The 27,122-nt window shown below is 37.2% G+C and overlaps 1 protein-coding gene and 1 long non-coding RNA gene across 6 annotated transcripts in view; one reads left to right on the forward strand and one right to left on the reverse strand.

Moving 5' to 3' along the window:
- The window catches only part of GORAB-AS1 (GORAB antisense RNA 1), a 71,293-nt gene extending 70,778 nt beyond the window's left edge, over positions 1 to 515 (reverse strand). Inside the window, exon 1 of the long non-coding RNA NR_125958.1 lies at positions 354 to 515. This is a non-coding gene — a long non-coding RNA (GORAB antisense RNA 1). The remainder of the gene's footprint in view (positions 1 to 353) is intronic.
- Positions 72 to 21,740, forward strand: GORAB (golgin, RAB6 interacting). Of its 5 annotated transcripts, NM_001320252.2 has the most exons (7): positions 72 to 190; positions 1,370 to 1,557; positions 4,216 to 4,327; positions 7,116 to 7,473; positions 10,397 to 10,498; positions 12,611 to 12,751; positions 19,921 to 21,740. In NM_001320252.2, exons 5-7 carry the CDS (start codon positions 10,443 to 10,445, stop codon positions 20,366 to 20,368), a joined length of 645 nt encoding a protein of 214 aa, NP_001307181.1. In that variant the 5' UTR covers positions 72 to 190; positions 1,370 to 1,557; positions 4,216 to 4,327; positions 7,116 to 7,473; positions 10,397 to 10,442; the 3' UTR covers positions 20,369 to 21,740. The 5 variants fall into 5 exon arrangements, 4 of the variants coding, with proteins under 4 accessions (NP_001307181.1, NP_689494.3, NP_001397823.1 ...); NR_027397.2 differs by lacking the exons at positions 1,370 to 1,557; positions 4,216 to 4,327 and having other exon boundaries at positions 7,116 to 7,477; NM_152281.3 differs by lacking the exons at positions 1,370 to 1,557; positions 4,216 to 4,327.

The raw sequence follows: 27,122 nt of genomic DNA on the forward strand, positions 1-27,122 counted from the left end.
GCCTTGTGTTTGGAGCCCGATGCACTGATTGGCCGCGGCCGGGGAAAAACCCGGATGAGCTGGGCAGCAGTGTTGGCAGTCGCGGCTGCGAGATTTGGGCACTTTTGGGGGTGCCGGTGGCCCGGGCCGATGGCGCAAGGTTGGGCAGGATTCTCTGAGGAGGAACTGAGGAGACTAAAGCAGACTAAAGGTTACAAGATGGGTTTACAGTGGTTTAATTCTTGGGTCTTAAGGGGAAGAGGCGGGGATGCAGCTTTGGCGGGGAAAGGGGGCGTGGAAGCGGCTACGTTTGTGTTAGCGGAAGGCGCTGTAAGTACGTGGACTGGATTAGGGGGTTTCAGAGGAGGACTTACTGGGAGTCACGACGGGAGGGGCAAGCCAGAGGACTGGGATCTTCTTTTAGAAAAAACGGTCCAGGAATCCACTGTAGGGATTTGACTCTTGTGAAAGGAATGGGACTTGGGAGAGGAAGTGAGCCTACAGCCGGGGTGTCTCCCTTAGGGAAGATTGCTGCAGGAATCAACGGTTGGAAGGTTAGGGTCAGGGTAAGGGAAGGAGGAGGGGCGCACACCGTATTAGAATTGTGATGAATTTATAGAAGCAGATGGTTGGAAAAAAGGAGCACAGGCGTCTGAATAAAGGCAAAAATTCGGTACTTTTCACAATTCATCTGGAGTGTTGCATTCACTTCTGGTTGCCAGATGATTTTTGCAGTACTTCCCAATTTTTGAGAATCAGCAAACCAAAAGGGTCTTTGAGAGGGTAGATGTGAAGACTTTATATGTTTATATACATACAGTCTTACTGACTTTGGAGTAAGCTAACCTTGTGCTTCTCTCTCTGGCTTTATAGAGTAATCATTGAATGGGCTTGTACAATTTTTTTGTTGTTGTGGAAGGAATTAAGTTTGCTGATTGTTGGTGGAAAACTTAGTAATATTAATTGCACTTTGCTTGTGGTTGAAATTTCGCAGTGATCTGTATGGTTATCGTGGTAGTACACACAATTTCTGTAAGAAGTGTACATCACTCTTGGTACCTTAATTCAAATACTTTATTTTGGTAGCAAATGAAGTAAACCTTTTGTTAGCGTTTGTGGGGAAATTGGATGTTGCTCTGGTAGCTTGTGCATTTTTAGCATAAATATGAGAATAATCTAGGGCAGACAAGTGGGAAAAGAAGTAAATTAGTAAGATAGGGCCAATGTAGATTATATCGACTGGGGACATTTTGACTGGTCCAGGGGACTTTAAAAACTCTATCATAAAGGTTAGGCTAAGCTATGTAGTTAACTGACTCTGTGTTGCTTGATATACTCAAATTCTTTTGCTTTGTGTTTTCAACATCCATTCACATACTTTGATATACAGGGTACAAGTGCCCTGGCCTCTGGTCTGACTCCAGTAGACTCATGAGGAGACAAACCACAAAGTTATGTGATAGTAGATATTGCAAGAACTTGCTTCAGAGACAAGAGGAACCTCACTCTGCCGGGGATTGGATGGAGCTTGGGAAGATTTCACAAAGTTTGTGTGTTAGCAGAGGCGCATTTTCCAGGGTAAAGATGACTTAATATAAAAATCTAAATTAAACAACATATTCATTATGTAGAAGTATATTTTGAAATATCTTTGCAACCGGGGGTAGATAGAGGATGGTGAGGACCTGAACTTCAAGGCCCACTGTAGTGTGGAAACCAAATCGCTAGTCCGTGACCACCTCGAGGACGGAAAATATCTTAACCTCCTTGTATACCCGTAGCTAAACACAGTGATTGGCATATAGAACTTCCAGCTCTTCCTCTAAATCTTTTCTCCTTGGATTCCTTATTTGTAAAATTAGAGGATTTGGCCCTTTAATTTTAAAGCCATTTCTAGCTGTTCTCTATCTTTAAAAATTTATTGAATAATTTAGGAAGATGGAGTTGGTTGCCAGGAAAAATAAGGACAGTAGTACTCTGGAGACCCCTGTATGGGCATTGAGGAACATAGTCAAGAAAGTTGTTAATAGTCTTGTTTATAATATTAAGAAGTTGGAAACAACCAAAGTGTCCATTAACAAGGGAATGGATAAATAAATTGTGGTATACTCATCTAGCGGGCTACTGTACAGCTGGTGGGAATATATTAGTATTAACTGTAGCCACATGCATTAAAATGTTTGTTAATACAGTATATGTAGTTACACTTGGCCCTTGAACAACACAAGTTTGAACTGTGATGGTTCACTTATACACAAATGTGCATTTAAAAAATACAGTATTTGGGGGATGCAAAACCTGAGTATATGGAGGGCCAACTTTTGGTGTATGTGGTCTTCACAGCGCCAACTGTGGGACTTGAGTATGCACAGATTTTGGTATACATGGGGATCCTGGAACCAATTATCCTCATATACCAAGGATCAGCTAGCTGTATATATAATATATACAGTCACGCACTCAATAACAGTATTTCAGTTAGCAGCGGACCACATATATGGTGATGGTCTGGTAATATTATAATACCCTGTTTTTACTATGCTTTTTCTATGTTTAGATACACAAATACCGTTGTTACAGTTGCCTACAGTCTTCAGTATAGTGACATACTGTACAGGTTTGGAGCTTAGGAGCAAAAGGCTGTACCATATAGCCTAAGTATATAGTAGGCTGTACCATCTAGGTTTGTGTAAATACACTCTCTGATGTTTGCGCAAGGACAAAATTGCCTTACAACACATTTCTTAGAATGTATCCCTTTGTTAAGTGACGTATGATTGTATATAGTGGGGAGGCGTGGGAATGTGATCAGGGAGAGGGAATTTCAGAGGTATTGGTATTTATGAAATCAGGTTAAGACAAGTTAAGCTAAAGTAACAAATAGCCCTAATAAGTCAATTGTTTAAAATAAAGATTTGGTTTTCACTCGTTTCATGTTTAATGTGGGTTTGGCAGGTGACTGTGTTGCACAGTCACTCCGTTTTTTGGTGCTGTCTTGTAGGAGTTTACCATAGTAGGAAGAAAAGAAGATTGAAAATTGAACATTGGCAATTAAATCCTTTCACCAGTAAATGACATGTGACACTCCTACTTTTATTTACCAAAAGCAAGTCATATAACTTGGGAGACAGGAAATAAATTCTCTCTTCTAAAAGGAGGATTATGTCTATCCTTAAAGAGTAGTTACTTCTACTACTGTCATATTTTATTTCTTAAACTTTCTTTTTAATCATATAGGTTGGAAGACTGAGTGTGTGTGTTTATGAGTGTAACACATGCATATATTTGATGTATGGTCTATTTCATAATGAAAAATTGGAAGAAAACAGTACAGCCACATGCTGTCAATTTTTAGTTAAATTATTTATTCAGAAGAGTTATTCTTCATACTGATTCTTTGCCAGTTACATTATGAATATCTTCTCCCAGTTTTTAAGTTATCTTTTCACTTTTATCTTTTTGATGAACAAAGTATTTTATTTTTTGAGACTGGCTTTCACTCTGTTGCCCAGGCTGAAGTGCAGTAGCACGATCATAGTTCACTATAACCTTGAACTCCTGGGCTCAAGCGATCCTCCTGCCTCAGACTTCCAAGTAGCTGGGATTACAGCTGTGTGCCATTACACCATGCTAGTTTTCTTCCTTTCTTTCTTCTTTTTTTTTCTGTAGGGATAGGATCTTGCTATTTTGCCTAGGTTGGTCTCAAACTCCTGGGTTCAAGAAATTCTTCCTCAGCCTCCCAAAGTGCTGAGATTACAGGCATGAGCCACCACTCCAGGCCTTAATTTTAATGTATTCAAATATGTCAACCTTTTTTTAATAGCCAACATTTCCATGTCTTAAGAAATTAGTTTCTTACTATACTTAGTATAGTAGTTACAGGTGTGAGCCACTGCACCCAGCCAGTATTCTTGACCTTCTATCTTTTCATATAAAAATTTTAATAATTTTACCAAATTTAATGGAAAACCCATTAGGAATTTTGATTGTAATTGCATTGAATCTTTAGATCAATTTCATCTTCATATTATTAACATTGCCACTAACGTGGTATATGTCTCCGTTTATTTAGTACTTGTTTAAATTCTCAATAAAATTTTAGAGTTTTCCCTATAGAGGTACTAAACATCTTTTTGTTAGATTTGTTCCTAGATAAGTAATAATTTCTGGTATTGAAATATATTCTCTTTAATTGTATTTTCTAATTGTTTTCTGCTGATATATAAAAAATACAAGACAAAAGAAAAGTCAACAAAAGACATGAATAGATATTTCCTAGAAAAGGAAATATGAAGAGATGCTCATCACCACCAAGGAGCAGAGAATTACAAATCAAGAATACAGTGAGGTACTATTTTACACCCATTTGATTGACAAAAATTAAAACATCTGACAGTATCGTGTATTGAAGAGAAAGTGCATCCACAGGATCTTATACATTACTAGAGGGAGCACACTTTGGAAAGCATTTTCACATTTCTTCTAAAGTTATATTTTGTGACTCAGTAGTTCTTAGATAATATCCAAAGCAAATTCTTGTACATGTAAAATAAGAGACACATTATTGAAATTTACAAAAGCAAAAACCTGTAACCAACCTAAATGTCTATCAGTGGAAGAAGATCAATAGACTCTGGTTTATTCACACAATGAAATGTTATACAACAAAATGAATGACTGCTGAAACATAGACAATATGAATGACTATTGACAGTGTAATATTAAGTAAAACAGATGTACAGCACAAAACCCTTTTTATAAAGTCAAACAACTAAGTAAATACTTTTTAGAAATATTTGTAGATGCAATATGACTATTAGAGAAGGAAGAGAATAATCAACATATGATTCAAATGATAGTTTTCTGAGGTGGAGGGAGCAGGGCTTAAATAAAGGATATGGAGTATATATCACAAACTGGTAGCCCATTAGCTTAATTTAACCCAAAAATGTATGTGGCTTTTCAGCTTTGCCTCCTTTCTTTCCCCTTCTTTCTTTTTTCCCTCCTTTCTTCCTGCCTGCCTTCCTTTCTTTCCCTTCTTCCCTCCCTCCCTCTTTCATTCCTTTCTTTCTTCTTTGTCTCTCTTTCTTTTATCCAATCTTTACATTTCTTTTAGTTAATAATGGTGATAATCATTGTGTTATTTGCTAAGCCAGCTATACCTGTTGCCTTTGTTTGGGGGTAGGTCCATGTACTAGGTTAGCCATTGCATTGTGAGCAGAAGTGTTATGTCACTACTGGGTCAGCAGTTAATTGCTATAGCAAGACCTTCCTGACCTCTCTCTTCTCCTTGTGTTGTGGTGGCCAGCAACACTGAATACTGACTGTACAGTCAGCCTAGAGCCTTGAGAGACTAATCAGCAGAACCTCTCTGTTAGCCTTTAGTTGGCACTTGGCATTAATGAAAAATAAACCTTTGTGGTTTAAAACCACTAAGATTTGCCCCTACAGCGTAATCTAGATTTTCCTGATTGAAACAGTTCCCTACATTTAAAAATCAAGATATTTTACATAAAAGTCTAAATTGTAATCATAAAAATCAAAATATCTGGCTATGGTGACCTAAATTTTTTAATGATAGCAATTGACTAAAGGTGACTCGGAATTTGCCCCCTTTACACTAGACTTACGCTTCTCAGTTCACCACAGTCTCCTTGATATTTGCAGCCCCTAATACAGAGTGTGGGAAGCAATATGTTCTGTGTTTAAGTGGCCTGATTTGCTTATTGTTTATTGTTTAAAATTAGCATTTTCAGTCTTATAGGTAGGTTCTGTAAAAATGCAAAATAAAATAGAAGTTACTACCTGAATTTCAGAGGAACTATTAATAATTCAGCTAATGAGTTCAACAGGGAGATAAGCAGGCTAAGTGACATTTTTTGATGGTGTGAATAAAGATCAGAGCCAAGAATGTGTTCCTGTTGCAAGATACAGGATACTTTGTGTTTCTGGCTAAAGTCAACAATAACATTTGCTTTTGATAGTACTTCAGTCTTTTAAAAAATATTTTCTGTACATATCTCATTTAATTCTTACACCAACTTCATGCATTAAGTAGAGCAGGTTAATTTTCAACCAGCTTGATAGATGAGGAAACTAAGGTATTGAATAAATAATTGACTTACCTGAGGTCACTGAGCTGGGCAGAAGCAAAGCTGGAATTGTGACTCTAGAGCTTTTAACTATACTTTGGGAAATTCAAATAATAAGCTTGTTTTGCTTCAAAAGTCAATATGCCAAATTTGAAAGTCCCATTTGAGTTGTTCATTTACAAGAACTGATAACTTCACTTCCCAGGCATTTAAGAGAGAATGCTATTTATAGATCTTATGAAATATAGTATGAATGTGGGTCAGATTCTCCAATTGTCTGCCCTAAGATGTTAACACTGGCATGGACAGTCCAAAAAGTATAATAGAAGTGTTATTATTTATAACTTTAAAGATATTTCCCCCCAGTTGTTTTATCTTCTATTGCTTTACTGAGGCTACTATTAAAATCAGTTTGAATGCATTGATTAGAGCCTGACTAGGCTTCGGGGAGTACAACCTTGGATTGTTCTGTAGGATGAAAGACAACAATTTAAGGTTAACTAGCATTCCTAGAAATAAGAGACTTCACTCAATTACATGCCTGTTATAGCATCTGAATATGTATCACATATGTACCAAATTGCCCTAAAAGCTGTTAAAATTTAAGAGAGGGTAATCCCATTTGAAAATGCAACCACCATTTTGTTTCAGTAGAGCAGACAGAACCATAAATCAAATTTAAAACCAGATAATTCAGTCACCTCCCTGATTTGGTCAAAATTAGTTGCTTTCTTTTGACAACTATGAAATCAAGTTGAAAAAGAAACTTCACTTTGTGACCTAAGGCCTAACTCACTGATGGACTTTCTCTGAAGATAAATTAAGAGATGGGGCAGTTTCTGTTAAATATTAACATTATGATCTGAAAACTATTGAAACTCTACAGGAAGATGGCTGTTTTTCCCCTAGACTTTCAAGATAGAGAATGGGGTAGGAGAACCACTAGAATTATCAACGTTTAATGTTAATTTTTTATTTTCTTAGAGGAATTATAATTATTTGCTGCCCACACAAAGGAATTTTCCTCTATTTTCTTTTACATAGATCCATTTGAACCACAGCGACGTCTCCCCGCGAAGAAAAGTCGACAACAACTTCAGCGAGAAAAAGCCCTTGTAGAGCAAAGCCAAAAACTTGGGCTTCAAGATGGATCAACCTCATTACTTCCAGAGCAGCTGCTTTCAGCACCAAAACAGAGAGTTAACGTTCAAAAACCACCTTTTTCTTCCCCTACTCTTCCGAGTCATTTCACTCTCACCTCCCCCGTTGGTGATGGACAACCACAGGGCATTGAAAGTCAGCCAAAGGAACTGGGACTTGAGAATTCCCATGATGGTCACAACAATGTTGAGATTCTACCTCCAAAGCCAGATTGCAAATTGGAGAAAAAGAAAGTGGAATTGTTAGTAAGTCTATGTGAAAAGTCCATGAGACTTTTCATTTAACCCGTTTTTTCCCAATGGGCTTTAAGGAAATATAATTTGTTTATTTTAACATTTTCTCTCCTTTATATTCATTCAATCATAGGAATGTGATGTATAAACTATTGAAAAATAGCTACTGCCTAAATATAAGCTGGACACAGGCATTCTGTATGTTTTATGTTCTTTAGTCTTCATAACAGCCTTACAATGCATGTTTATTATTTAAACTTTATACATGAGGTATCTGGGACTCAGAAAAGATGATACCTTTCTAAAGCTAATACACTGCTAGTAAATAGTAGAGATTTACAGATAAGTCTGTCTGGATCCAAAGTTTATGCCTTTTACACTGAGCAGAAGCAGTTCTTTTTTTCTTTCTTTTTTTTTTTTTTTTGAGATGGAGTCTCGCTCTGTTGCCCAGGCTGGAGTGCAATGGCGCAATCACAGCTCAGAAGCAGTTCTTATATGCATAGTGCCTCTGCCCAAATTGACCCCTTTTTTCAACTTCCAGACTATTTCCATTGGCCCAGAAATTGGAACTTGTGGAGAGACGTGAAGGGATGGTCAAAGGAGAGAGTGTAGGAAATTTAGGGGACTAATGATATAACTCAGTTCATCATTAGATTTCTTTTTATTTATTCTTTACTGTCTTTGTATTAGAAACAACCTTCATAATTTAGCTACACTGTTCTTGTGGAAGATGCCATTTTTTGATTTGCAAATTCTTAGAATTTTTTATTTGATAGCTTGTGTTTTAATATATACTCTTATTTCTTTGTTTGCTCCTGATTTATCTCTCACAGAGAAGGAATGACATTTTTCTGTTTTCTCTTTTCTGAGTTCTTTTCAAAGTATCTTTTTTTTTTTCTAATCTCTGACATCTTTTTAATCTCTGCTGATCCAGATTCTATCCTGTGAATTTAAAATGTTTCCTGTCCACTAGGGGTTTACAACTAAGAAATCATTTTGACAAGAGTTATAAAACCACATGAATTATGAAACCTATATTGAACAAGTGCATACATTAAAGTGTCTCTAAGTGTAGTTTACTAACAAAGGCCGGAGACAAATAGGAGGTAAGTTTACATTGAGCTGGACAATTTGGATTGGATGTTATAGGGAAACTTATTCTTTTTTTGGATACTTGGAAGAATTTTCATAAAAGACCTGTAACCTCAAACCATTCACGTAAAGGAGAAATTTTGAGGTTTTAAGGAGGAGAAAGGAAAGCTGTGTCCTAGAGAATGTTCAGAGATGATACCTCATTTCTCTGGGAGAGGTGGCAAAGGATAAGCCAGAGAACAGTAGAGAATTAAAGAAATGAGGAAGGAGGACAGGCGTGGTGGCCCACACCTATAATCCCAGCACTTTGGGAGGCTGAGGCAGGCACATCACTTGAGGCCAAGAGTTGAAACCAGCTTGGCCAACATGGGGAAACCCTGTCTCTACCAAAAATACAAAAAAATTAGCTGGGCGTGGTGGTGCATGCCTGTAGTCCCAGCTACTTGGGAGACTGAGGCACAAGAATTGCTTGAACCTGGGAGGTGGACGTTGCAGTGAGCCAAGATCATGCCACTGCATTCCAGCCTGGGCAACAGAGCAAGATTCTGTCCCAAAAAAAAAAAAAAAAAAAAAAAGCAGAACTGAGGAAGGATCAGAAGCAGAAGCAGGGGATGAATAAGTAGAGAATTAAAGAAATGAGAAAGGATCGGAAGCAGGGGATGCCTTCCTTCCTAGCAAGTTCACTAATGCAGCAAGTTACCATGAAGCTCTCTGAGGGCTAAAGGCCGCAATCAAAATAAAGGTTAGAGAAATCCCAGGTGTCAATATTGTAGATCATATGCAAGAGAGTGCATAGTGAGCTGTGGAACTAAGGCGCCTGGTGAGGAGATGCCTGCAGTAGTAAAAGTGAGAAATGACCAGTCCCAGCACTAAGGTGGAAGGTGTAGAAATGGAGAGAGAAGGACAATTTTGGAAGGGGCTACTAGATTTGGGAATAGAGGTATGTGATATAATGGCTGTAAGAAGTGACAGTAATAGGAATAAATAGCTTTGCCAATACCTTGTTTAATTTGAGTTGACATCAAGCTCATGACTTTATGGGAAATTTTAATGTATTTATTTTAGAATTGGACAGATTGTAAGACAATACATGTTTTCACATCTTTGAATTTTTTTCTTTAGCCCAGCATTCCAGTCTTAGCTCTTAGTGTTTTACTTTGTTTAAAAATGTCCAAGTTGGGCTGGGCACAGTGGCTCACACCTGTAATCCCAGCACTTAGGGAGGCAGAGGCGGGAGGATAGCTTGAGCCTAGGAGTTCGAGACCTGACTGGGTAATATAGCGACACCCTGTTCTCCACAAAAAGGAAAAAAGAAAGACAAAAAAAAGTCTTAAGAGTTGGGAAAAAGTGAGCAAATTGAAAGAAAATATTAATATATGAAATAAACATTGGTTATTGTCTGAAACATGTTAAGGTGGTGGAGACTTTATAGAAAACTCTAAAAGGTATAAATAATATGACATCAGCTACAAACCAATTTTTATTAATCTCCATTCTGCATATAATACATAATTAACTTACACAAATTTCTTTGTACTCCTAAACACATGCCACAGTATTCTGGCTTCCAGTTTGTGGATTCCTAGATTATATATATAATGGATTTCAGAGGTCCAATTTATGTAAGCCTCTTTACTTTAGATCGTAGTCTTTGTTCCCATTAGAGCAAAATAATGAACTGCAGATGGGTTTCTTTTAAGAGGACTTTTGAAAGAACATATACATAAATCTTCTTGATTAAATTTTATACTTAGAGGACTGAGACTGGTAAGGTGTTGGATAGGGTAGCAGTTTCTTTTTCTTTCATAAACTCATTTTTATGCTTTTTTTGCCCCCTAGGCAAGAAAAATCTCGTTGGGAAGTCCTCCAACAAGAACAACGGCTAATGGAAGAGAAAAATAAACGTAAAAAAGCTCTTTTGGCTAAAGCTATTGCAGAAAGGTGAGGCACCTGAACCAGGAGAGGCTGTTTGTAACCTGTAACCAGTTGTGTCATGTGTTATATTTGTTTTCCCATGTCTCTTTTAATAAACTGATATTTTTTCTTCAACCATTACTTTTAAGACTAACTAAACAAATTATGCTTTATAAGTGATACTGAAATACTAGTTATAATTTATTAAAGAGAACTTTTTAAGCATAGAGCATATTAAATTTGTAAATATAGTTGCAGTTTTAAAGACCTTCATTAGTGCTCCCAGTTTTAACCATCTACACATTCATAAGGGAAGCAGTAAATAGCTATCAGTATATGTAAATTAGCAACAAATGCAAGTTTTAATTTTTATGTGGGGAGGCCTTAATCATTTGATGTGTAGAGGAATAAGGTTTTCTACATAAGTGACATACTCCCATGAATCTTAATTGGATTTCCTATGGGCATTTTTCTTAAATAATTTGCCCCGCCTCCACAAGTAGAAGATACATGATATAGTTTAACTTTTTATTGATGACTCAGGGTCATTATTATGAGCACTGTGTGAGATTCAATTTTTCTTTCACCTTCCAGTGTCTATCAGCAGCCCCTTCACATTTACTGCATTGTACCAGCCGCACACAACAACATTCCCATTGGAATCATTCTTCCCATCCCCCACCACTCTTGCTGAGTTTGTAGTTTCTGTCTAATCTCCTGTGGCCTTAGGAAACTAAACTTAGTCAATATATCCATGGTTGTGAATAGTGAAAACTAAATGCAAGGAAGTACATTTTCTTTTTAGACTTCCAGAAAAGTCTGTCAAACTGTTACTGCTTGAAGCTAGAGTATGTGTAGGGGCAGGAGAAGAGGGAAGAAGGTGATGGGTATAAGAGTAGTTCAGAATTTTGTCTGCCAGAGGAGTGAGTGTAGTTGAGAAATGGTGATTTTTCTTTTTCTACTACTGGTACACCTTGATCTTTCTTGAAGCATAGGAAATAATGCAACTCACTGAGTTACTATGTTTCAAAGGAAAAAACCAGCAGATAAAAGAGTAGTGCCCTCTTTTTTTTTTTTTTTGGTAAGTGATTATTTAAAAATAATTAAAGCATTTTAGTAGTCTTCAATTTCTAAGAGATGGGAAGGCTGTTTTCTGTGGTTTTACAAAAAGATGTACAGGCTCAGCAGTTCTTCTCATAAGTGCTTTTGATTTTAGACAGCACCAGTATAAACAGAAGTGTAAGGAAATACAACGTTTGAACTATTAATAAATGGACAATGAAGTACTTGACGTAAAAGAATCATACTGTTAAGTGAAGTTTTGTAGGCAGAAAGGAAGGGTAAATGCCTAAGAGTAGAAATCAAGAGAATGTGCTATGTAACATGGTGGATTTATGTGGGGATTTTTCTTCTTCCTTCACAATGTGTGTGAAAATTTGAAATGAGTGAAATCATGATTAAAGGGTTGCTTTTTTATTTGTTTGTTCCCTTTCTTAAGTATATATTGTACTTGGGAGAGGGGATTGAGAAATTATGAGGTTGGATGTGCTTTTAAATAAGGAAAATGAGTGTTTTGATGTTCAGCTCCATAAAGAATTTTCGTAACTAGTAGTTTTCCTAGAGAACAAGAATCAAAGCAATAAAAGTTTGGGGAAATGGGTCCCAAGAAAGTTAAAACTAAGTGGATGTTCTCAGATATATAAAGAGGTGTGGTTTAGTATAGACATCTATCTGTTCTTAATGTCAGGTAAGTATCAGACAAATGAAAATGGGCTTAGCAAGAGGAAGAATTAAAGACTAGAAATTTGGAAAGCTCTGTTGAATGTTTCAATGTAAAGGGAACACAGATATATTCTTTTAGTGTTTGTTCTCTTTACAGAATGAATATCAATCTAAAATGAACTATTTGCTGAGTTTTTTTAGACTTATTTGTTACTTTATGAAACATGCAAATATAAAATTTCAAAAACTCAAATGTTAACCAGCTTTTACTTTATTTCAATTTTTCTGATTTTTTTCTAACTTTTAAAATATAAATTATAAATGTATATGCAGTATCTTGCTTTTTCACTTACATTGTATATGGACACATGGTTTTAAAATGTTCTTATTTTCCCACTCACATACCTGATTTTCTAGATCCAAAAGAACTCAGGCAGAGACCATGAAACTAAAGCGGATCCAGAAGGAGTTGCAGGCTTTAGATGACATGGTGTCAGCTGACATTGGAATTCTCAGGAACCGGATTGATCAGGCCAGCTTAGACTATTCATACGCTCGGTGAGTTGGGGAAATTGAATCTGAACAAGGAGTATGATTTAATTAATGTTTATTGCCAGCTGTTCCAGGGGCTTTTATGTATATCATCATTGAAGCCTCAAAACAACCCCATTCAGTGCTGTATTTATTCTTCTTTTGTGCTAATTCAAGTGTCTCCTCTTCAGTGAAGTCTTCCTTAACTCTGCCCTACTAGTTAACCTTGTTCGTGTGCCATTAGAGCAGTTCTTGCATTATTTATTTACGTTTTAGTCTTTGCTGCGAAACCCTCAGCTATTTAATGTTTGGAAGTGTTTTTGCTCATCTTTCAGCATCTAGCAAAGTAAATATCTGAGTGGTTTCGCCAAAACTGTTACTCTGACACCAAGTCTGTGTTCTTTCCATTAAAATTTTTGATATCTGATATAGTCCTATAGGATTGAAGTCTAGTCCTCACTTTAGCTTTCATCAGAGTAAGAGGATCTAGTTTAGTTTTTAAAAGCTTATGAATATTTTAAGCATATCCTCTGTCTTGGAAATTTGAAATATTTTCTCTTTTTTTTTCCTTTCAATTATACTCTGTATGAAATGGTTTAATATATGTTTCCTTGGTTTCAACCATTGGCATTTTTTAAAAGAGAAAAAATACCATGGAGTATTTTTAAAATGAACTAACACATGTAATGAATTACATGGACTTTGCAGACAGATAAAAGGGCAAAAAAATATGTCCAATTTCAGGGTTTTCAGCCCTTTCAACATTGCTTTAATCATCCTGGTTTGTCTTTTTTCACAAGGGAATGCTGTGTTAATGACTCAGTTTTCTATCTTACTCTGTTACACTAGAAATGAATCAGAATGCCTCATTAGGCCAGGGTAAACCACAACATCAGAATGTTTATATAACAATTTATTAAAGCGGAAATGCTTGATTGTGGTTTTTAATAAACTGTTGAGTGTTTAAGAAAGAGTCTTGTGGTTGTCCTTGTGACTTTTGTAATTGTTGTTGGACCATATGCTATTAGACTTAGAGTTGTCTTTATTAATTAACTACTTAAAAGAATGCCATCAGTAGCTGATAACCAGAGGTTCCAGGTTTCCATTAATAAGGTCATTAAGGGAGATAACAGAGATTTTATTTAAGATTAAACTAAGCCTTGATTTGTAGCACATTTTATTCTCTGTAACATAAGTTTGCCAGAGGAACATTTTTATGCCTTTGTAGCCTTTTATATGAATAATTCATATTATAAGGTAGAAGTACTAGGTACCTCAGTTGAAATTTGAGGCCGGGCACGGTGGCTCACGCCTGTAATCTCAGCATTTTGGGAGGCCAAGGCAGGTGGATCACGAGGTCAGGAGTTCAAGACCATCCTGGCTAACACGGTGAAACTTCATCTGTACTAAAAATACAAAAAATTAGCTGGGCGTGGTGGTGGGCGCCTATAGTCCCAGCTACTCAGGAGGCTGAAGCAGGAGAATGGCGTGAACCTGGGAGGCGGATCTTGCAGTGAGCCAAGATTGCGCCACTGCACTCCAGCCTGGGCAACAGAGCGAGACTCCGTCTCAAAAAAAAAAAAGAAAGAAAAGTAATTTGATTTTAATTTTGTCCTAGTGGAAACTGGAGAAAGACGCTTTTTCATATTCAGTATTATATAAGAAATGTCATAGTTTTAGCCTTCTAAGAACCACAACAAAGAAGGTGGGATTACTAAAGGAAAAAACATCCTATAGTCTATAAGTATCCTAAATGAAATTTTAGTAAATTTTTAAATCTTTAGTAAGTTACAGATGACAGTTTCTCATGGTACTAATATTGATGTAGTTGAATGTAAGTAGATGTTGTGTGCCACTATTTTTGTTTTTATTTTTAGGTTTTTGAGACGGAGTATCACTCTTATTGCCCAGGCTGGAGTGCAGTGGTGCGATTTTGGCTCACTGCAACCTCCGCCTCCCAGATTCAAGCGATCCTCCTGCCTCAGCCTCCTGAGTAGCCCAACTATAGGTGCCCACCACCACACCTGGCTAATTTTTTGTATTTTTAATAGAGATGGGGTTTCACCATGTTGGCCAGGCTGGTCTCCAACTCTTGACCTCAGGTGATCCGCCTGCCTCAGCCTCCCAAAGTTCTGGGATTACAGGTGTGAGCCACCACGCCTGGCCATGTGCTGCTATTTTCAAAAGCCGAAGCTCTTGCGTTGAGTCAAAGGGAAACAAAGACTTTGGTGACTAGAACCGTAGTGTGTCTTGTTCATGCGTAAGATTAAGGTATTATTTTCTAAACTTGCATTTGTGGTTATTGAGAAATTACAGATCGGTAAAATAATATTATGGTCCAGATTTGAAGTGAAAGATAATCCCTAGGACAGTCAGTTTTTATGGGAGATTTCCTTGTTTTTTCTTTTTTTAATAAAAATGATATCTTAGTTCTATAGTATTTGGTACAGTGCTATGTCCACAAAAGGTTCTTGGATAGTGAATAGGCCAGAACTTGCTTTAAAATTGGCTTCTGTAGAGCAGTGTTTGGATAGACACCTCTGAGAAGACTAGCACTTTGAGCCAATTTGAGAGAGTTGCTGCTGCTGCTGCTGCTACTGCTGCTACTGCTGCTACTGCTGCTACTGCTGCTACTGCTACTACTGCTACTGTTCACCACTGGGATTACAATGTTGCCATATGCTGTGCAGACCAGTTTATAAAATCCAGAGTGGCTGCATGTAGAACATTTTTTTAAATCACTATTGACCATCTAGGTTTCATAGACACCCTCATACATGCAAACATACACCCACAGACGAATATTTTTAAATCACTTTATGAGTAATTTTTAAAAGTAAGATTAAAAGGGATTGTGTAAAACAACTTTAAAATTTTAATAAGAATGTAAGCATGGTAACCATCTTTGTATCAAGTAATGTTTGACTCACAAACATAAAAAGCTGAGAGAGTATAGTTACATCCTTGTAGCAACACAAGATAGTCTAGATACTTGTAAAATATTGGGTGTATGTTCTCCCTGCTGAAATGATTAACTCTATGATAAAATCATTTTTCCTTTCTATGCTTAGAAATATATTTTTTACTGACTGATTCTTAAGTTTGAGAAAATTCACCTAGGATATGTTTTGCTGAAGACTCATCTGAGATTTCACATATGATCGATTTTATCATCTAGACTCTAGAATGTGTCTCTGCATTTGTATTAGTTTCCTAAGACTACCATAAGAAGTAATCCAAACTGGGTGACTTAAAACAACAGAAATTACTTCTCTTTCATTTCTGGAGGCCACATATCCAAAATCAAGGTGTCAGATTTGTGATTTCTTCAGAGACTCTAGGTATCCATTTCTTGCCTCTTCCAGCTTCTGGTGGCTGTGGGCATCCCTTGGCTTGTGGCCACGCCATGCCATTCTGTGCCTCCATAGTTATGTTGCTTTTTCTTCTCTCTCTAAACTTCCTCTGCCTTTCTCTTAAAAAGATGCATGTGATTACACTTAGGGTCCAGCTGGATAATCTGGAATAAACTCCTCAAAACCTTTATCTTAATCACATCTTTTTCCATATAAGATAATTTTCACTCATTTGTCATAGAAAGTAATATTCACAGGTCCCAGGAATTAGAAAGTGAATATCTTTGGGAGGCCATTTTTTAGCCTACCACACCATTCATCTTTTGATTTCTTTAACAGTGGCAAGATGTCTTCCTCTGTCAGTTGTCTCCACTTTGCAAATACTGGATAGGCAGAAAATGAAAACTAAAAACAGGTTACAAAAATGGTGTTTTCAGTCTTCTTTTATACTTTCTGGAGGTGACATGATACTTTGTACAGCACAGTAAAGAAGCTCAACAATGATAAGTTATTGCATCATCCTTTCAGATCATTTTCTTATTTTAATTTCTTTTTATTACAAAAGGGAATAATTGATAAGTAATGATGAAATAATTCCTAGGATGATGAAATGGCAAAATGTTTCAAGATACAGGAAATATAAAAATACTGCAATAATCCTATAATATATCTTAGATTTATGAAAGGGTTCTTTGGACCTCTCTGGTAATTGCAAAATATAATTTATTTTATTCTGTTTTTTTAAATAAGTAAATTTTCTCATTATTTGAAAGACTTAAGAAAAGATAAAAATTATGAAATGCTAATTTATACAAATAGTGAGAACTGCTCAGAAAAGGAACTGAAAAACTAAAAGTGGACCCGTGGAACCCAGTGGTATACTGAGGGTTAATGGTTGAGTTTTTAAACATTTCAGGGGATACCAAAACAAAGAGACAATTTCTAGAATCCTTTAAAAATAACATTCATTAATTCATTCCATCCCCCTTTAAAATAACAAAACAGTTCTATAATTACATTTCCAGTTCACTCTGTCTTACTGTGTTATGTATAATGCTCTTATTATTTTGTTCCAGAATGTCATCATACACTAATTTGGTATTACCCACCTGACCATAGGCTGGTAGTGCAGTTTGTGAAACTAATCAATATTTTAAACATTAAATCACTCTGTGGGAGAATATATATTCGTATTTCTGGCCAGAAGGACTTTAAATAAATAAACAAAATACAAAATCTTCAGTGATTTATCCAGGGTGATAGATCAATGGAAACCAAGGGACCTGTTCGCAAATGTTAATTTCAATTCAGTATTCATGAATCCAGACTGTAAATCTCTACTGATTGACTTTGACTGGCTGAAGGAGACCACAGACTTGCAGAAAAGGGAGGTTTGAGGCAGGGTCAGGGCAGGGTATTCATACACCTATAGAGAATGTCAGAACTCTTGTCTTGTTGCAAGAACATTACATGAACAGGGTATGTTATAAAGTATGGAGATAAGGGAACTAGGTATCCAGTAGAGTTCCTTTAGAACAATTCTTTTAACATAGAGGGTTATTGAAAGATAATGGGTGCTCTCATTTTTACATTTACTATATTTACAGTTAAAAAAGGAAATAGGATAAATTAACATTATGTAAATGAGTTTTCAAGTATAAATACCAGGTCCCTAAATTTTCCATAATCTTAATTTTAGATTCATGCTTACTAATATATTAACAGTACTTTTTGATTCTGGTGTTCTAAATGAGAAGTTCTGTTTCTTGAGCACCTACCAGGCACAAAACTGGAAGTTTGCCCCATTTATACTGTTTAATCTTCAAAACTCCTATGAGGTATTATTATCATCATTGTTTTACAGGTAGACCAAGACTCAGCTTAAGTAACTGCTCAGAGTCACTGTGCCGGAATTTTCAGTTATTGCATGCCTCTTCCCCAACCCCTTCCAGAGGAACCTGGCTGTGTTTTGGACTCAGGATGCTGACCTGGGGCATACCTAATTAGAATAGTGATGGGCTACCGACTCCAGTACATTTAATCCATAGGCTAAATAGTGGTTCACGGCATGGCCTGACACTAAGAGTTCTGTTTAAACTGAGATGAGCCGGGCAAACCTATGTTCTCCTCTGAGAGTGTGGAATTGGATCACTGAGAGATTGGGTGGAGTGAATTTGATACAGAGTGCAGGTGGTGGCCATATTGGCCTGTGAGTATGATAGGAAAGCTGAAATGAGAGAAAATGTGTCGCTTCTAAGCATTGAAAAGAATAGCCTTTGATTCTGATGACATGACTATGAAATTGCCTCGTGTATCCTACAATAAAACCCAATTTTTACCTGAGCTAGTTTGACTGGATATCTGTTCTTTGTATCCACAAGAAGCCTTGACCGAAATGGGTACACATGGTAAATGTCAGGAAGGTTTTGAACCCTGAGTTTTCTAAAATGAAAGCCATTTATTATTTTCACTGTATTTTCTTCCAAGACAGAGAATCCTAAATTAGGAGATATACCTGTTTCTTTTTTGCTATAACTCTTGTACTAGAAGCTACTTATTACACTAAGTTGATGTAGGCACTCATAACAGGTAAAGCAGCATGGCCTTCACAACTGCTAATGGTAATGAAATTAAAGAACTAGTTGGAAATCAATCTTTTTTCTTGCAAGAGAGGAAGGACCCTCTTGTTGCAAAAAGAAAAGCAACAAATTTTATAGAAAAGGCAAAAGACAATAAATTAAGACACGATAACTCTTCTTTTTGTACTGACCTAATGCAGAAGAAAAAAAGTGAGATTGCAAGGTGACTTCTCTAGTAGAATTGCCCTATTTCACATAAGACTTCACATAAGATTACCTGTCAACAGAGTTTATACATGTGTAACTATGTAAAATTTCCTAGTAAGAGTGTAAGAGGAGTAGTGGAGAGAATGAGAACAACTTAACCCAAGGATTCTCAACTGGGAGCATTTGTGTCCAATAAGGGACATTTGGCAATGCCTGGGGACATTTTTGGTTGTCATAAATTTTGGGAATTACTGGCAACTAATGGGTAGAAGCCAGTGATGCTGTTTAGCATCTTGCAGTGCAGGACAGCTTCTCACAACAAATAATTATATGGCCCAAATTGTCAGTAGCACCAAGGTTGAGAAATCCTGCATATAGCTATCCTGAGGTTTTCTACTTGATGTTTACTTCTTGCCCTCACCCAGTATCATTTTGCTGGGTGTGCTCTGTTCCATTTATATTCATCTCCCGACCACTGTCCGTATCTTTCTCCATCAGAATTTTTCTTTTTTTCTAATTTATTAATCAAGAGAACAATTTTCCACTTTCTCCATCTCTTGTCTGTCTTCTCATAAATTTAACCAGCTGTGTGCTGAAGCTAGCTTACCCTGGTTCATGTGGATTTTGTGTATCTCTTCCCAGTTCTGCATTCAGTAATATCACGTTGGTGGCTTGAAATTGGACAGGGTGGTAGTAATTATCCCATGGAAATGTAAACGCTACAAATCAGGGCTCCCCATCCTCCCACCCCAGAACTAGCATACCACTGAATTAACCTTTTAGCCTGCCTTCACTCAAAAACAGCTTTGTAAAGAAAACATTCGTGCAGAATAACATGTTTTCATTAGGTGAATTCAAGTAAGGATACTGTGAAAGTTTCAGCAGCCATAGCCTAGTCTGGCCAACATGTAGACAAGTGTTTGTAAAGTAGTAATATCCGTATCTTCATTATATATTTTTTCCCAATTTTGGAGTTGAGTTATTGTTTCTAGATCCTCTTTTGAATATCTTCTTCAATGGAAAACTGATGGACCTATCTTTATACACATCCTTACAGGAAGCGGTTTGACAGGGCTGAAGCAGAGTACATTGCAGCAAAGCTAGATATACAGCGCAAGACTGAGATAAAAGAGCAACTCACTGAACACCTTTGTACGATCATACAGCAAAATGAGCTCCGAAAGGCCAAGAAGTTGGAGGAGTTGATGCAACAACTAGATGTAGAAGCCGATGAAGAGACTTTGGAGCTTGAGGTGGAGGTCGAGAGATTGCTACACGAACAAGAAGTAGAATCAAGGAGACCAGTGGTTCGTTTAGAGAGGCCATTTCAGCCTGCGGAGGAGAGTGTGACATTAGAATTTGCTAAAGAGAACAGAAAGTGTCAAGAACAAGCTGTTTCCCCAAAGGTAGATGACCAGTGTGGAAATTCCAGTAGCATCCCCTTTCTTAGTCCAAACTGCCCAAATCAAGAAGGTAATGACATTTCAGCTGCTTTGGCCACATGAAGTTCTGGTATTCTTTTGAGCTAATATGGTATTGAGTAAAGTATACTTTTTGCAGTAGATCATGCCCTGACCTCCAATAAAAACCTCTTTAAAACAATGCTGATTTTTGAATTCATGATTAGTTTTAGTAAATTAATAGGTTTGGCCATTCTAAAATCCAAAATTATGATAACTGTATTTCTAGGGGTATGTTTCACCTTGATTTTGGCCCGGTTCTTTCAGTGTTCCGTTTACCCTTTTTACTGAAAGTAAGTGACTTAAAAGGATGGAAGAAAAACTACATGGTTGGAGTGTTTTTAGATCAGATAAATATAGAAAAGTAAAATGGAAAATGATACTCAATACCTAGTTAAACTCATTTCACTTCTCCTGGGAGACGTATTAAGACTGGAAGTCCTATTTTATTTAATCAGTATCAGTAAAAAGACAAAAATTACAGTGTGAACAAGAGAAAAACAGGAATAGAAGAAAAAAGTTGCAGGTTGAATTATCTATCTGGATATTACTAGAGTTGTAAAACACAACTTGGAAACTGGAATTTATGTGAAGAACCAAACAACTTAAACCAGCATCACTTTTGTCTTCAATTTGCCTTCCAGTGATTTTAGTTTACAACCTGCGTTTTGTTATTTGAAACACACACACTTATATATAAACACATGTAATTTTACTATTTTATTGTCTTTCCTTTAATCGATGAATTGATTAAATTTAGACAATTAAAACATTTCTAAAGTGAGACTGAAAATAATATAGAAAATCTCATTGCTACTTGTGATTATCAAAAAAAGTATGTATTTTCTTTCTAAAGTTATCTATAAATATGTTTTTGATATGTTGGACATGAATTACCCTGTCATGAAGCGTTTAAATTGTTAAAATGCTGATTTTCTTATTAGTTTGTTAATTGCCTGTTACTAGTACTTGACCAATACATTGTGCTATATGTAAATGTGTAAATAAATATTGTAATTTTCTCACAAAGTCTGTGAATATCACATTATGATTTATTTATCAGAAATTCCAAAAAGTAAAAATATTACCTTTGAGGACTTTTTTTTTTTAAAAAAAGAATTATTATCAGAGAACATAAGCACAAGTATAAGATTGTATCCATAAAAGTTTCTGAAAAACTTAGGGACATCCTGTTTTTAAATGGGTTTGTTTGAGGGTATTATCTTCTGGTAATATAGATGAGCTTTATATTTTTATATTATGTAATTTGAGTTGAAAGTATAACATTTTACTACTGACTTCTCTAAACAGAAGCATTTCTATAGATAGTTGTGCTTTTATTTATGAAATACATAAAAGCCAACAGTTTCATTGTCTAACACACTTCTTTTTCTAAGGAATAAACAAGTCTGATGTACTTATAGTGTCTTTCATTTACCTTAAAAAAATTTCAAACAGTTTAGTATGTATTAAGCATTGTGTGACAATAATGCATCTTGGATCTCCTTGTGGTACATACAGTTACTTACTTTTATTAAGCCTCTGTTAAGGAAAATTCATTATCAGTGAGGTTTTATAATATTGGTTAAATGCAGGCATGTGCAATCTTAATTCTCAGTGTAAACCCTTCAAAGATATATGAAGAAATGAGAACCGTGAAAAAAATATAAGTTAGATGAGACCTCAGAGATAATCTAATTTAATCTTTTATTTTTTTGAGATGGAGTCTCACTCTGCCACCCAGGTTGGAGTGCAGTGGCACGATCTCGGCTCACCGCAACTTCCACCTCCCAGGTTCAAGCAATTCTTCTGCCTCAGCCTCCCAAGTAACTGGGATTACAGGTGCCTGCCACCACACCTGGCTAATTTTTCTATTTTTAGTAGAGACGAGGCTTCACCATGTTGGCGAGGCTGGTCTCAAACTCCTGACCTCAGGTGATCCTCCTCAGCATCCCAAAATGCTGGGATTACAGGCGTGAGCCCCCTCGCCCAGCCTCGTTTTATTTTATAGTGAAGAATTTGAGAGCCAAAGATTTCAGTAGCAGCTTGGCCAGCTGGCTCATTTGAAATTTAAAGTGCTAGTAAAGTTGCAGTTCCATATTCCAGGTGTGTCACTTACATATTTCAGGCTGTGAAGTTCACTGCACTGCATCCCTCCACTTGCAAATTTTGCTCTATAACCCGTTGAGGAAGAGTGTGTGTGTGTGTGTGTGTGTGTGTGTGTGAGAGAGAGAGAGAGAGAGAGAGAGAGAGAGGGAGAGGGAGAGAAAAGTGCTTTCAAATGTGGCTGTAAAAGGTCCACTGAACCCATTATTTTGAAAAAATGTTATCTTGCTTGGCTTTCCCAGGGTGGTATCAGAGTGCTCAGGTGATGATATAAGTGACAAAATCATATTGCATCAGTTTTATACAAAGGCAGCTGTATCCCATCTGTGGGAGGAACAAGAGCAAATGAATGAGAAGTGAGGGTTCATTGGTATGAAGACCATATGCACTGGCTTTTCCGGGATCGCCCTGACACAGACATATTTAAAATAAAATACAGTACATTTGAAGGGCTTTGATATATAAATTCACAAATACACAATAATTGTTAATTTCTGTGAAGGAAATTACTGGCTCAAAATTACTGCCATGAGTTTATTGCAGCATTTTATAGAGCTGTCCCTCCTTGGGTTAAACTACTCTCCTTGCTTCCACTTCTCAAATTGTTAGAGCAAAGGTGTATCAGGATTCCTAATGATGTGAAAAGTAACCTAGGGGCCACCTCCTTTGTGTTATCTCACTTGTTCTATTTAAAAGACAATCTTTACCAAATTGTAGTAATTCTCACTTAAAGTATACATTTACTTGGGTAAACTTAAATTCCTGAATAGAGGGGTTTTTATACTTTGATTTTCTATTCCTTTCTTTAGGGCCATTTTTGGGGGGTTTCAGAGAAGCAAAATTTCTTAAAGCACAGTCCTCATTGCACTTAAATAAAAACTTGAGTTTTTCACCTCCGCATAGTTCTGCTGAATTACAGCACTTGCAGGTGGTAAATCTTTGTACTCACTGAGGACAGCTGGTTTCCAAGTCAGATGATAATCTCTTACTGGAATTCCTACAGCATATTTCATTGCTGGATTGGCATTTGAATTATAGAGTAAAAATTCAGCTATAAACTTCTCATTCTTTGCATTTAGCAACATAGTACTCTCAAGGAACTTATCTAAATATTCAGCAACTTCCTCTTCATGGCATTGGCACAAAATGAACTCAAGTTATTCTGACCCAGGCCATTCCCAGTGACCTTTATAAATGATGTTTTGAGTTTTATATTTCTAAGGAACCAAGTCAGCCTTTTAAAAGGCCCTGATAGATGTAACTCAGTCTGCCAGGCAAGACCTGGGGCCACTCTGGATCAGGGTAATTATACCCTTTCTCAACATAGATCTATCCTAGGCCTGATTTGAACTATTCTCTGGTGGGATGAAGCAGGACACTGTTCTCCAATCTGGCTTTATCTTAATGTCAGGCTATTTGTGCAAGCTTCTAAAGCCAAACAGCTGTCTTGAAAATACGATATCATTTATTTATGCAATTGATCAAACAACTGAGTATAGCTATCTATAGGGACAGAGCTATGTAAGAGGCATATGATCTCTGCCTTTTGTTCTTCAGAAGCTTATACTTTAATTGAAGCAATAGAATTTACACTCATAAAACAGGTTGATATGAAACAATGTCTTAATGGAAAGCAAACTAAGTGATTGGAACATTGAACATGGATGTATCCTCCAGAAGTCCCAAATTTGTAAAACACTCTTAATTTTATTCTATCTAGTTTTGCAATCTATGCATGTGCCTAGGACCTACCATATCTTTCAGTTTGCCTTTAGTACTATGGAGCAACACATATACAACCAAAACAAAAAACAAAAATATCTATGTTAACACAGTGTATGTAATCCCAGTGCTTTGGGAGGCTGAAGTGGGCGAATGACTTGAGCTCAGGAGGTCAAGACCAGCCTGGACAATGTGGCAAAAAAAACCCCATCTCTACCAAAAATACAAAAAATTAGCCAAACATGATGGTGTGCACTTGTGGTCCAGGCTACTTGGGAGGCTGGGGTAGAGGATCAATTGAGCCTGGGAGGCAGAGGTTGCAGTGAGCCAAAATCATGCCACTGCACTCCAGCCTGGGCAACACAGTGAGACCCTGTCAAAAAAAGAAAAAAAAAAGACAATATATGCAGATTTTGAGTTTGAAAAGTACAGTCCCCAGGACAAGAGTGAATTGGAAAGAGGGAAGGTTTTTGACTGTCACTGATTTAAAATAGGGGACCCATTGGGATTCATCAGTGCAAAACTCCATCAAGTATTGGGAAAAATTACTTTAAGAACAGACCTTTCTGACTGAGGGTTGATGGTATCTCGTTAGATGAAAAACAGCATAAATGTTAGCACTCATTACAATTTTTCAGGGTGTTGTGGAACCAAGGGTCAGTAAGTATTGCCTAAGTCAGAACAAGATGTAAATGGAACAGACAATGTGAGCTCAAGGATAACTCAACATGGAGGCTTGTTCAAAGATCACATATAAGGGAGGTCTTTCCAAGCCAAATGATTCCATGAGCCTAAAATAGAACCATAATTAAGCAATAAGATGTGACAGGGATAACATTTCTTAGTGATTATAGCATGCCTCAAGGGATAAGTCAGTAGGCCAAAGGTTCAGCTGAGGAGTGAAACAACCCTGCAATGTATAGTGTCACTGCTGTTAGAGGGAGAATGAGAAGGAAATGAACAATTGGAGTTAGAAGAGTCATTTCATGAGCCATTATTTCAGTTGTTGGGTAATATTACCATGTGTATAGTACATGTGGCCATTAGTTGTATCCAGCATTCTGAAGCTGTGTATTTATGCCAGAGCTTTCACTAAATTTAAAACTGCAGAATTAACTATCTCATATCTGTAACCAAGCAAAAACCAGGCAGTTCAGACACAAACTTGAAAATCAGTAGCCATAAATATGGAAGTACAGTCTGGTAGAATTATGATTACAGTTGCTTAGCCCTGAAGCATGTTGGGTCATTTCCCATACTGTGGTTCATTCACCTCATGTGCATTTCCCTCAGAAATTACCAGTAGGCATGGCTCCAGTGTCACAGCCAGAAGCATCTCGAACTTTTTAGTCTGAGCTTTTCCTTCCCTACCACTATGCTGTTGGTGGAAGAGAGGGAGGACCCTAGAACTAGTGATCAACTAAACTGCACACTATGGTGGTGCCAGGTGTTTCAACAGGATGAAAAATGAGATGCCCAGTAGCCATAAGATGGGACAAGAAGTACCCAACTCTGACAGAGACACTGGAAAGCCCGGCAGATAGAAGCAGGTGTCTTATTGCTGTATTCCTCTCCATGTGTCTGTCTGACCACTTCAGAAGATACGAAATGAAGAGGGCAAGGTCTCCTGTGGTCCTACTAGTCTCCCATGGCACAAGACAGGTCTGTATTCTAGACAAAAGTCTAGGCAAACAATGGCTTCTCTTAGCCTAAGCCCTCTTTCAGGGCGCCAGTGCTCTTTCTTTCAAAATATGCTCTTTGGAGAAGATCTGAAGACAGTTACTTGAATCTTGGGGAAATTTTAAGTTAGTAGATCACTTCTCCCAAGAGTGTTTGCATTTTAATGTAGTGGAATATTTTAAAGTAATGTATTTTAATTTGTGTAGTATAACTTTTAGCCCCTAGCTAAAGAAATGCCAAGCATCAGAGACCAGGTGAGAGAACTGGGGAATGGTGTGCCTGGAGAGGACTTGAGGACATCCTGAAATCATATCCTAGTGCATGAGCTGAGAAATGAGTTCCTGAAGCCTTTGCCTATACTATGATAATCTCCATTTGAGGAAAATTACCCCAACCTGTCCTGTTCCTATTGCTGGTGCAACATGCTGTTAGAGAAGGGAAACCAACTATGCCATTCTAGCCACATATATCTGTTGTTTATGGCTGCATAACAAACCACCGCATAACTTAGTGTCTTGACACAATAACCACTTTTATTTGCTCATGGTTCTGTGGGTCAGCAATTTGGTCTAGATTCAGCTGGAAAGTTCTGCTGATCTTGCTGGGGATCACTCATGTGATTGCAGTAGTCAGGTGGCTTTCCTAGGGCTGGATGATCCAAGGCAGCCTCATTCACATTCTGGCTGTTGGTGATGCCTGTCACCTAGATCTTTTTTTCCATTTAGTCTCTCAGTCTCAAGGAGCTAGCTCAGGCTTCTATTCATGGAGGTCCCAGGGTTCCAAGATGGCAACAGTAGGAGATGCAGGGCTTCTTGAAGTCATATCACATTACTTGCTGCAGTCCACTGATGAAAGCAAGTCATAGGACTGGCCAAGATTCAAGTGGTGAACAAACAGTCTTGACAACTTGATGGGAGGAGTAGGAAAGTCACATTGCAAAGGGGCATTCATATAGGAATGAGAGGGATTGTTGTGATCTTTGCAAACAATTTACCACAGTCGGCTGGCTGCCTTGTTACAATCATTTACATCCATTACAAATACAAAAATGTATTCACCGCCTCCCCAAAAAGCCTCATCCATCCCATTCTGGTTTCAGATGTGGAGTCCAGGATTTCGTCATCTAATCAAGTCCAGATGTGAATGAGGCACCTCAGGTTTCGAACTGCCAACGTGACTCCTCTTAGTCTAAAAACTTGTGAACTAAAATGAAAATTTACCTGTCCTCACCACACTTCAATATACAGTGGTGAGGGGAATAGGATAGCTTCAGGAGACAGTCCCTTTTTAA

The sequence above is a fragment of the Homo sapiens genome, chromosome 1 (genome assembly GCF_000001405.40).
Source record: "Homo sapiens chromosome 1, GRCh38.p14 Primary Assembly".
Taxonomy (NCBI): domain Eukaryota; kingdom Metazoa; phylum Chordata; class Mammalia; order Primates; family Hominidae; genus Homo; species Homo sapiens.